This window comes from Homo sapiens, chromosome 19, assembly GCF_000001405.40.
Source record: "Homo sapiens chromosome 19, GRCh38.p14 Primary Assembly".
NCBI lineage: Eukaryota > Metazoa > Chordata > Mammalia > Primates > Hominidae > Homo > Homo sapiens.
This window is the reverse complement of record NC_000019.10, coordinates 12,001,103-12,013,505: the sequence shown is the minus strand read 5'-3', so window position 1 is coordinate 12,013,505 and position 12,403 is coordinate 12,001,103. Positions and strand designations below refer to the sequence as shown.

Below are 12,403 nucleotides of genomic sequence, written 5' to 3'. Positions count from 1 at the left end.
ATACATTTTAAGACCCTTTACCGGGGTGGGCACGGTGGCTCACACCTGTAATCCCAACACTTTGGGAGGCCGAGATGGGTGGATCACGAGGTCAGGAGATCAAGACCATGCTGGCTAACATGATGAAACCCCATCTCTACTAAAAAAAAATACAAAAAAATTAGCCGGGCATGATGGCAGGCACCTGTAGTCCCAGCTATTTGGGAGGCTGAGGCAGCAGAATTGCGTGAACCTGGGAGGTGGAGCTTGTAGTGAGCCAAGATCACGCAACTGCACTCCAGCCCGGGCGACAGAGCAAGACTCCTTCTCAAAAAAAAAAAACAAAAAAAAAAAACCCTTTTCGCCAAAGCATACTGGAATTCACAATTATAAAGAAATTCACTATTATAAAGAAATGTGGGTCAGGTGCGGTGGCTCATGCCTATAATCTTAGCACACTGAGAGGCCAACCTGGGTGGATTGCCTGAGCTCAGGAGGCAGCCTGGGCAACATGATGAAACCCCATCTCTATTAAAAATACAAAAAAAAAATTAGCTGGGCATAGTGGCAGACACCTGTAGCCTCAGCTACTCAGGAGGATGAGGCACAAGAATTCCTTGAACCCAGGAGGTGGAGGTTGCAGTGAGCTGTGATTGTGTCATTTCACTCCAGCCTGGGTGACTGAGTGTCTTGCTCAAAAAAAAAAAAAAAAAAAAAAGTAGAACAGAACTGAGGTCCACTCATGTTGCCCAGGAAAACTAGATATTTACACTGAGGTTTGATGGGCTAGAAAGAAAGGCTTTTACTGCTGAGCCCTAGGCAAGAAGGACCAGGAAGATAAAGGTTCAAATCCTGGCCTCCCCGAAGGCACGGTGGATCATGCCTGTAATCCCAGTGCGTGGGGAGGCTGAGGCAGGTGGATCACCTGAGGTCAGAAGTTTGAGACCAGCCTGGCCAACATGGTGAAACCCCATCTCTACTAAAAATACCAAATTAGCCAGGTGTGGTGGCGTGCACGTGTAATCCCAGCTACTAGGGCGGCTGAGGTAGGAGAATCACTTGAACCCAGGAGGTGAAGGTTGCAGTGAGCCAAGATCACGCCACTGCATTCCAGCCTGGGCAAAAAGAGTGAAACTGTGTCTCAAAAAAATAAAAAACTGTTATGCTTTGTTTGTTGTGTGTTTGGGAAAGATCTCACTCTGTTGCCCAGGCTGGAGTACAGTGATGCCATCATGGCTCACTGTAGCCTCCAACTCCTGGGCTCAAGCGATCCTCTCACTTCAACCTCCCCAGTAGCTGAGACTACAGGTATTCACCACCACTCCTGGCTAATTTTATTATTTTTTTTTTTGTAGAGATGAGGACTCCCTATGTTGCCTAAACTGGTTTGGAACTCCTGAGCTAACGTGATCTTTCTGGCTAGGCCTCGCAAAGTGCTGGGATTACACTGGGACCTGAAAGCATTCAGAAATATGCCAACAGTCCAAGAGCAAAATTTTTTGGGGGGCGGAGGGGGAAGGGCTATCTTCAATTTCGTTTCAGAGTTAAACTATAAGCTAAATTCCCTCCCAAGGTTAGTTTGGCCTATGCCCAGGAATGAACAAGGACAGCTTGGAGGTTAGAAGCAAGATGGAGCCGGCCGGGTGTGGTGGCTCACGCCTGTAATCCCAGCACTTTGGGAGGCTGAGGTGGGCAAATCACGAGGTCAGGAGTTCGAGACCAGCCTGGCCAACATGGTGAAACCCCGCCTCTACTAAAAATACAAAAAATCAGCTGGGCTTAGTGGCGGGTGCCTGTATTCTCAGCTACTTGGGAGGCTGAGGCAGGAGAATCTCTTGAACTTGGGAGGCAGAGGTTGCAGTGAGCTGAGATCATACCACTGCACTCCAGCCCTGGCGACAGAGTAAGACTCTGTCTCAAAAAAAAAAAAAAAAAGTAAGGTGGAGTCACGTCAGATCTCTTTTCACTGTACTAACTGTCTCATTTATAATTTTTGTAAAGGTAGTTTCAATCTCTCCCTTTGGGTTTCATAACACCTTATTCTTAAGGTGTGGGCTATAAGGATGGAAAAAGGATGAAGACCACTTTAACTTCTTCCTGCTGACAGGGGATGTAGTGGGGGTAGGTGCTTACCCCAAAGTGTGAGTGGAACCACTTTGCAGCCATCTGAGCATGCTCACATAGGCTGGGTTGGGGTTCGAAGGCTTGCATGACAAAGGCATTAGTATTCTCATCTATAGTTTTAGTACAGTATTAATATTTATGCAAACAGCATACTATAGTTTTAGCACAGAACAGTGAACTATAAGGTAAATAATGAGTCCCAGGATAAAGAGTGAAAGTCTTAGCTTCAGAAGCCTTTGTAGAATTGATCTTAAGCTCTGAGGGATACAGGTAAAAAGCCCTGAGAACCGGCCAGGCATGGTGGCTCACGCCTGTAATCCCAGCACTTTGGGAGACCAAGGTGGGTGGATCACCTGAGGTCAGGAGTTCGAGACCAGCCTAGCCAACATAATAAAACCCCATCTCTACTAAAAATACAAAATATTATCTGGGTGTGGTGGCGGGTGCCTGTAATTGGAGCTACTCAGGAAGCTGAGGCAGGAGAATCACTTGAACCCAGGAGGCAGAGGTTGCAGTGAGCTGAGACCCCGCCACTGTACTCCAGTCCAGTCTGGGCAACAAGAGCAAAACTCAATCTTAAAAAAAAAGGAGGAGGAGCCAAGACGGCCGAATAGGAACAGCTCTGGTCTACAGCTCCCAGCGTGAGCGACGCAGAAGACGGGTGATTTCTGCATTTCCATCTGAGGTACCGGGTTCATCTCACTAGGAAGTGCCAGACAGTGGGCGCAGGTCAGTGGGTGTGTGCACCGTGCACGAGCCGAAGCAGGGCGAGGCATTGCCTCACTCAGGAAGCGCAAGGGGTCAGGGAGTTCCCTTTCCTAATCAAAGAAAGGGGTGACGGACGGCACCTGGAAAATCGGGTCACTCCCACCGGAATACTGCGCTTTTCCGACAGGCTTAAAAAATGGCGCACCACGAGATTATATCCCGCACCTGGCTCGGAGGGTCCTACCCGATGGAGTCTCGCTGATTGCTAGCACAGCAGTCTGAGATCAAACTGCAAGGCGGCAGCAAGGCTGGGGGAGGGGCGCCCACCATTGCCCAGGCTTGCTTAGGTAAACAAAGCAGCCGGGAAGCTCGAACTGGGTGGAGCCCACCACAGCTCAAGGAGGCCTGCCTGCCTCTGTAGGCTCCACCTCTGGGGGCAGGGCACAGACAAACAAAAAGACAGCAATAACCTCTGCAGACTTAAATGTCCCTGTCTGACAGCTTTGAAGAGAGCAGTGGTTCTCCCAGTACGCAGCTGGAGATCTGAGAACAGGCAGACTGCCCCCTCAAGTGGGTCCCTGACCCCTGACCCCCGAGCAGCCTAACTGGGAGGCACCCTCCAGCAGGGGCACACTGACACCTCACACTGCAGGGTACTCCACCAGACCTGCAGCTGAGGGTCCTGTCTGTTAGAAGGAAAACTAACAAACAAAAAGGACATCCACACCAAAAACCCATCTGTACATCACCAGCATCAAAGACCAAAAGTAGATAAAACCACAAAGATGGGGAAAAAACAGAACAGAAAAACTGGAAACTCTAAAAATCAGAGCGCCTCTCCTCCTCCAAAGGAACGCAGCTCCTCACCAGCAACGGAACAAAGCTGGACGGAGAATGACTTTGACGAGCTGAGAGAAGAAAGCTTCAGACGATCAAATTACTCTGAGCTACGGGAGGACATTCAAACCAAAGGCAAAGAAGTTGAAAACTTTGAAAAAAATTTAGAATAATGTATAACTAGAATAACCAATACAGAGAAGTGCTTAAAGGAGCTGATGGAGCTGAAAACCAAGGCTCGAGAACTACGTGAAGAATGCAGAAGCCTCAGGAGCCGATGCGATCAACTGGAAGAAAGGGTATCAGCAATGGAAGATGAAATGAATGAAATGAACCGAGAAGGAAAGTTTAGAGAAAAAAGAATAAAAAGAAACGAGCAAAGCCTCCAAGAAATATGGGACTATGTGAAAAGACCAAATCTACGTCTGATTGGTGTACCTGAAAGTGATGGGGAGAATGGAACCAAGTTGGAAAACACTCTGCAGGATATTATCCAGGAGAATTTCCCCAATCTAGCAAGGCAGGCCAACGTTCAGATTCAGGAAATACAGAGAAAGCCACAAAGATACTCCTCGAGAAGAGCAACTCCAAGACACATAATTGTCAGATTCACCAAAGCTGAAATGAAGGAAAAAATGTCAAGGGCAGCCAGAGAGAAAGGTCGGGTTAACCTCAAAGGGAAGCCCATCAGACTAACAGCAGATCTCTCGGCAGAAACCCTACAAGCCAGAAGAGAGTGGGGGCCAATATTCAACATTCTTAAAGAAAAGAATTTTCAACCCAGAATTTCATATCCAGCCAAACTAAGCTTCATAAGTGAAGGAGAAATAAAATACTTTACAGACAAGCAAATGCTGAGAGATTTTGTCACCACCAGGCCTGCTGTAAAAGAGCTCCTGAAGGAAGCACTAAACATGGAAAGGAACAACCGGTACCAGCCGCTGCAAAATCATGCCAAAATGTAAAGACCATCGAGACTAGGAAGAAACTGCATCAACTAACGAGCAAAATAACCAGCTAACATCATAATGACAGGATCAAATTCGCACATAACACTATTAACTTTAAATGTAAATGGACTAAATGCTCCAATTAAAAGACACAGACTGGCAAATTGGATAAAGAGTCAAGACCCATCAGTGTGCTGTATTCAGGAAACCCATCTCATGTGCAGAGACACACATAGGCTCAAAATAAAAGGATGGAGGAAGATCTACCAAGAAAATGGAAAAAAAAAAAAGCAGGGGTTGCAATCCTAGTCTCTGATAAAACAGACTTTAAACCAACAAAGATCAAAAGAGACAAAGAAGGCCATTACATAATGGTAAAGGGATCAATTCAACAAGAAGAGCTAACTATCCTAAATATATATGCACCCAATACAGGAGCACCCAGATTCATTAAGCAAGTCCTGAGTGACCTACAAAGAGACTTAGACTCCCACACATTAATAATGGGAGACTTTAACACCCCACTGTCAACATTAGACAGATCAATGAGACAGAAAGTCAACAAGGATACCCAGGAATTGAACTCAGCTCTGCACCAAGCAGACCTAATAGACATCTACAGAACTCACCACCCCAAATCAACAGAATATACATTTTTTTCAGCACCACACCATACCTATTCCAAAATTGACCACATACTTGGAAGTAAAGCTCTCCTCAGCAAATGTAAAAGAACAGAAATTATAACAAACTATCTCTCAGACCACAGTGCAATCAAACTAGAACTCAGGATTAAGAATCTCACTCAAAACTGCTCAACTACATGGAAACTGAACAACCTGCTCCTGAATGACTACTGGGTATATAACGAAATGAAGGCAGAAATAAAGATGTTCTTTGAAACCAACAAGAACAAAGACACAACATACCAGAATCTCTGGGACGCATTCAAAGCAGTGTGTAGAGGGAAATTTATAGCACTAAATGCCCACAAGAGAAAGCAGGAAAGATGTAAAATTGACACCCTAACATCACAATTAAAAGAACTAGAAAAGCAAGAGCAAACACATTCAAAAGCTAGCAGAAGGCAAGAAATAACTAAAATCAGAGCAGAACTTAAAGAAATAGAGACACAAAAAACCCTTCAAAAAATTAATGAATCCAGGAGCTGGTTTTTTGAAAGGATCAACAAAATTGATAGACCGCTAGCAAGACTAATAAAGAAAAAAAGAGAGAAGAATCAAATAGACGCAATAAAAAATGATAAAGGGGATATCACCACCGATCCCACAGAAATACAAACTACCATCAGAGAATACTACAAACACCTCTACGCAAATAAACTAGAAAATCTAGAAGAAATGGATAAATTCCTTGACACATACACTCTCCCAAGACTAAACCAGGAAGAAGTTGAATCTCTGAATAGACCAATAACAGGCTCTGAAATTGTGGCAATAATCAATAGCTTACCAACCAAAAAGAGTCCAGGACCAGATGGATTCACAGCCGAACTCTACCAGAGGTACAAGGAGGAACTGGTACCATTCCTTCTGAAACTATTCCAATCAATAGAAAAAGAGGGAATCCTCCCTAACTCATTTTATGAGGCCAGCATCATTCTGATACCAAAGCTGGGCAGAGACACAACCAAAAAAGAGAATTTTAGACCAATATCCTTGATGAACATTGATGCAAAAATCCTCAATAAAATACTGGCAAACCGAATCCAGCAGCACATCAAAAAGCTTATCCACCATGATCAAGTGGGCTTCATCCCTGGGATGCAAGGCTGGTTCAATATATGCAAATCAATAAATGTAATCCAGCATATAAACAGAGCCAAAGACAAAAACCACATGATTATCTCAATAGATGCAGAAAAGGCCTTTGACAAAATTCAACAACCTTTCATGCTAAAAACTCTCAATAAATTAGGTATTGATGGGACATATTTCAAAATAATAAGAGCTATCTATGACAAACCCACAGCCAATATCATACTGAATGGGCAAAAACTGGAAGCATTCCCTTTGAAAACTGGCACAAGACAGGGATGCCCTCTCTCACCACTCCTATTCAACATAGTGTTGGAAGTTCTGGCCAGGGCAATCAGGAAGGACAAAGAACTAAAGGGTATTCAAGTAGGAAAAGAGGAAGTCAAATTGTCCCTGTTTGCAGATGACATGATTGTATATTTAGAAAACCCTATCATCTCAGCCCAAAATCTCCTTAAGCTGATAAGCAACTTCAGCAAAGTCTCAGGATACAAAATCAATGTGCAAAAATCACAAGCATTCCTATACACCAACAACAGACAAACAGAGAGCCAAATCATGAGTGAACTCCCATTCACAATTGCTTCAAAGAGAATAAAATACCTAGGAATCCAACTTACAAGGGATGTGAAGGACCTCTTCAAGGAGAACTACAAACCGCTGCTCAAGGAAATAAAAGAGGATACAAACAAATGGAAGAGCATTACATGCACATGGGTAGGAAGAATCAATATCGTGAAAATGGCCATACTGCCCAAGGTAATTTACAGATTCAATGCGATCCCCATCAAGCTACCAATGCCTTTCTTCACAGAATTGGAAAAAACTACTTTAAAGTTCATATGGAACCGAAAAAGAGCCCGCACCGCCAAGTCAATCCTGAGCCAAAAGAACAAAGCTGGAGGCATCACACTACCTGACTTCAAACTATACTACAAGGCTACAGTTACCAAAACAGAGATATAGATCAATGGAACAGAACAGAGCCCTCAGAAATAATGCCACATATCTACAACTATCTGATCTTTGACAAACCTGAGAAAAACAAGCAATGGGGAAAGGATTCCCTATTTAATAAATGGTGCTGGGAAAACTGGCTAGCCATATGTAGAAAGCTGAAACTGGATCCCTTCCTTACACCTTATACAAAAATCAATTCAAGATGGATTAAAGACTTAAACGTTTGCCCTAAAACCATAAAAACCCTAGAAGAAAACCTAGGCATTACCATTCAGGACATAGGCATGGGCAAGGACTTCATGTCTAAAACACCAAAAGCAATGGCAACAAAAGCCAAAATTGACAAATGGGATCTAATTAAACTGAAGAGCTTCTGCACAGCAAAAGAAACTACCATCAGAGTGAACAGGCAACCTACAAAATGGGAGAAAATTTTCGCAACCTATGCATCTGACAAAGGGCTAATATCCAGAATCTACAATGAACTCAAACAAATTTACAAGAAAAAAACAAACAACCCCATCAAAAAGTGGGCAAAGGACATGAACAGACACTTCTCAAAAGAAGACATTTATGCAGCCAAAAAACACATGAAAAAATGCTCACCATCACTGGCCATCAGAGAAATGCAAATCAAAACCACAATGAGATACCATCTCACGCCAGTTAGAATGGCAATCATTAAAAAGTCAGGAAACAACAGGTGCTGGAGAGGATGTGGAGAAATAGGAACACTTTTACACTGTTGGTGGGACTGTAAACTAGTTCAACCATTGTGGAAGTCAGTGTGGCGATTCCTCAGGGATCTAGAACTAGAAATACCATTTGACCCAGCCATCCCATTACTGGGTATATACCCAAAGGACTATAAATCATGCTGCTATAAAGACACATGCATGTTTATTGCAGCATTATTCACAATAGCAAAGACTTGGAACCAACCCAAATGTCCACCAATGATAGACTGGATTAAGAAAATGTGGCACATATACACCATGGAATACTATGCAGCCATAAAAAAATGATGAGTTCATGTCCTTTGTAGGGACATGGATGAAATTGGAAACCATCATTCTCAGTAAACTATCACAAGAACAAAAAACCAAACACCGCATATTCTCACTCATAGGTGGGAACTGAACAATGAGAACACATGGACACAGGAAGGGGAACATCACACTCTGGGGACTGTTGTGGGGTGGGGGGAGGGGGGAGGGATAGCACTGGGGGATATACCTAATGCTAGATGACGAGTTAGTGGGTGCAGCACACCAGCATGGCACATGTATATGTATGTAACTAACCTGCACAATGTGCACATGTACCCTAAAACTTAAAGTATAAAAAAAAAAAAAAAAAAAAAGCAGCTCTGAAAACCAATCAGACATGGGGTCATTAGCAGCAAGAGATTTGGGTCAGAGGTTGTTAGATTGGGATAGACAGAAAAAGGCAAATTTAAATATCTTGTCCCATATCTTTTTAGCCAATTTCCTAGTTCTGAGACTAAACTCTTTTTAAAAATTGGCTTTGCTGAAACTTTGTTCACTAAGGAATCTCAGATTGTACTTTTTAAAGCCTTGAAGCCCAGCCACAGACTTATCTATGCCTGCAAATACCTGTATGAGTTGAGTGAATTTTCCTCCTGTCAAGGTCCCAAGATAACTTGAGGCTCCTGGGCCTGTCAGAAAGTGACATTCTTTTTTTTTTTTTTTTTTTTTTTTTTTTTTGAGACAGAGTTTCACTCTCATTGCCCAGGCTACAGCGCAGTGGCATGATCTTGGCTCACTGGAACCTCCACTTCCCAGGGTCAAGCAATTCTCCTGCCTCAGCCTCCCAAGTAGCTGGGATTACAGGTGCACGCTACCACGCCTGGCTACTTTTGTATTTTTAGTAGAGATGGGATTTCACCATGTGGGTCAGGCTGGTCTGGAACTCCTGACCTCAGGTGATCTGCCCGCCTCAGTCTCCCAAAGTGCTGGGATTACAAGCATGAGCCACCACGCTTGGTCTTTTTTTTTTGTTTTTTTTTAAGGTAATTCAGTTTTAATTTATTTTCATCACTTTTTCTTCATAATCCAGATATTTTAAAATGCAAAGAAAATTAACTTTCAATGATATATTCAGGGACTGGCACTAAAAATTTTCAGACTGCAAATGAGTTATATAAATGAAAATATCAAATGGAGATCCAGTTATCACAATGAAAGCACTCAACATATTAAAAGTTCACAAGTATTTGTATTGAGCACATTAAAAAAGTCAGCTTGCTAAGTGTTGTGATTTTAAAGAACTAATGCAGAAGTTTGAAGAAAATAGATTAGTTAACTTATAAAGAGAATAAAGAGCCTGAAACAAGTATTAAAAAGAAATTTGTGCCTTTATTAGAATGTTGTCAGTCTTTATATGCCAATTTTGATAAATTATTGTTGTTTTGTTTTTTATAAGAAATGATACTACAGAACTGCAATACTGGTCCAACACTCTTGTCTTTACTCTTCTTTTAAAGCAAGAAGCAGTGGCGTGATCTCGGCTCACTGCAACCTCCGCCTCCCAGGTTCAAGCGATTCTCCTGCTTCAGCCTCCAGAGTAGCTGGGATTACAGGCATGTGCCATGAGGCCCGGCTAATTTTTGTATTTTTAGCAGACACAGGGTTTCACCATGTTGGCCAAGCTGGTCTCGAACTCCTGACCTCCAGAACGCCTCCCAGGTTCAAGTGATCCAACTGCCTCTGCTTCCCAAAGTGCTGGGATTACAGGTGTGAGCCACCATGCCTGACCCTATATAGAAATTTTTTTTTTTTTTTTAATACAAAGTCTCGCTCTGTTGACCAGGCTGGAGTGCAGTGGCACGCACGGCTCACTGCAACCTCCGCCTCCCGGGTTCAAGATTGAGGCTGTGCCTCAGCCTCCCAAGTAGCTGGGACTACAGCTGAGTACCACCATGCCCGGCTAATTTTTACATTTTTAGTAGAGACGGGGTTTCACCATACTGGCCAGGCTGGTCTCGAACTCCTGACCTCGTGATCCACTCACCTTGGCCTCCCAAAGTGCTGGGATTACATGCATGAGCCACTGTGCCTGGCCTGGAAATTCTTAATACTATTTTCCCATAGAGTACTTTACAAATACTAAACCTCTATCATTTTTCTTGAATGGGGGTCATCCTGTTGCCCAGGCTGGAGTGTAGTGGCATCACTGTGGTTTACAGCAGCCTCAAACTCCTGGGCTGAAGTGATTCTGACTCAGCCTCCTGAGCAGCTAGAACTACAGGTACATGCCACAGCGTCTAGCTACTTCTTTGTTGTTATGAAGTCTTGCTGTTTTGCCCAGGCTGTTCTCAAACTCCAGGCCTCTAGCAATCCTTCCACCTCTACCTCCAAATAGTTGGATTACAGGTGTGACCCACTGTGCCCAGTTTATGTCACACTGAAATATAGGATTTTAGATAAAATGTGTTAAGAATAAATAAATGTGGCAGCCAGGCGCGATGGCTCACGCCTGTAATCCGGCACTTTGGGAGGCCAAGGCAGGCAGATCAACAGGGTCAGGAGATCGAGATTGGGCCATCGCACTCCAGCCTGAGCGACAGAGCAAGACTCCATCTCAAAAAAAAAAAAAAAAAAGAAAAAGAAAAAGAAAAAGTGGCCAGGCGCGGCGGCTAATGCCTGTAATCCCAGCACTTTGGGAGGCCGAGGTAGGCAGATCACTTCAGGCCAGGAGTTTAAGACCAGCCTGGCCAAGGTGATGAAACCCTGTCTCTACTAAAAATACAAAAATTAGCCAGGGGTGGTAGCGCCCTCCTGTAATCCCAGCCACTCAGGAGGCTGAGGCACAAGAATTGCTTTAATCTGGGAAGCAGAGGTTGCAGTGAGCCGAGATCATGCCACTGCACTCCAGCCTGGGCAACAGTGAAACTCTGTCTCAGAAAGAAAAAATAATTATTATTCTAATAAATAAACAAATTTGATGCTGGGCTTATTTCCTTCATTTGCTTTTCTTATTTTTTTTGTGAGACAGAGTCTCACTCTGTCGCCCGGGCTGGAGTGCGATGGCGAGATCTCGGCTCACTGCAACCTCTGCTCCCAGGTTCAGGCAATTCTCCTGCCTCAGCCTCCCGAGTAGCTGAGACTACAGGCACGTGCCACCATGCCCTGCTAATTTTTAGTAGAGACGGGGTTTCACCGTGTTAGGATGGTCTCGATCTCCTGACCTTGTGATCCGCCTGCCTCAGCCTCCCAAAATGCGCTGTGAGCCACCGCGCCCAGCCTTTTTTTTTTTTTTTAAACATAGTCTCACATTCTAAGATTTTCTAGAAAGACATTGCTTCATTTTGTAAGTGTAAATTACCTTAGATTTCTGTAGTGATCTTCAATATTCTGGTCTTTCCATTTATTTCCTAAAATACAGAACCAGGAAAATAGTCTTAATTAGTATAAAGCTATAATAAAAATAATATTCTATGTTCATGGTACACTGCATCCGTGCCTCATTTATTCACTGACATATTCCCTGTCCATATTTCCAAATCGTGGAACAGCATTAATGAGCTAAAAACACGTTCTCGGCCGGGTGCGATGGCTCACGCCTGTAATCCCAGCACTTTGGGAGGCCGAGGGGGGCGGATCACGAGGTCAGGAGATCGAGACCATCCTGGCTAACACAATGAAACCCTGTCTCTACTAAAAATACAAAAATTAGCCAGGCACGGTGGCGGGCGCCTGTAGTCCCCGCTACTCGGGAGGCTAAGGCAGGAGAATGACATGAACTCAGGAGGCGGAGCTTGCAGTGAGCCGAGATTGCGCCACTGCACTCCAGCCTGGGCGACAGAGCAAGACTCCGTCTCAAAAAAAAAAAACAAAAAAAACCATGTTTTCTAATTCGCTGAAGGAAGGAAGTAATATTGTCACCCTCACCTATAGAGGACAGGTTCCCGAAGGTTTCCTGCATCACATCTCTGTAGAGATTCTTCTGGGAAGGATCCAGCAAAGCCCACTCCTCCTGGGTGAAGCTCACATCTACATCCTCAAAGACCACTGAGTCCTAAAACATCTCACACATGTAAAGGAG

At 43.9% G+C, this 12,403-nt stretch overlaps 1 long non-coding RNA gene across 4 annotated transcripts in view; it reads right to left on the bottom strand.

The window, feature by feature from the left end:
* The window catches only part of ZNF433-AS1 (ZNF433 and ZNF878 antisense RNA 1), a 58,659-nt gene that overhangs the window by 32,770 nt on the left and 13,486 nt on the right, over positions 1-12,403 (bottom strand). For 2 of the 4 annotated variants that reach the window (NR_134928.1, NR_134927.1), the window contains exon 2: positions 11,684-11,732. The exons of 1 other annotated variant lie outside the window; for it this stretch is intronic. This is a non-coding gene — a long non-coding RNA (ZNF433 and ZNF878 antisense RNA 1). Of the gene's footprint in view, positions 1-9,694; positions 10,115-11,683; positions 11,733-12,403 lie in introns of those variants that run through there. One more of the 4 variants, NR_134930.1, reaches the window with a different exon arrangement.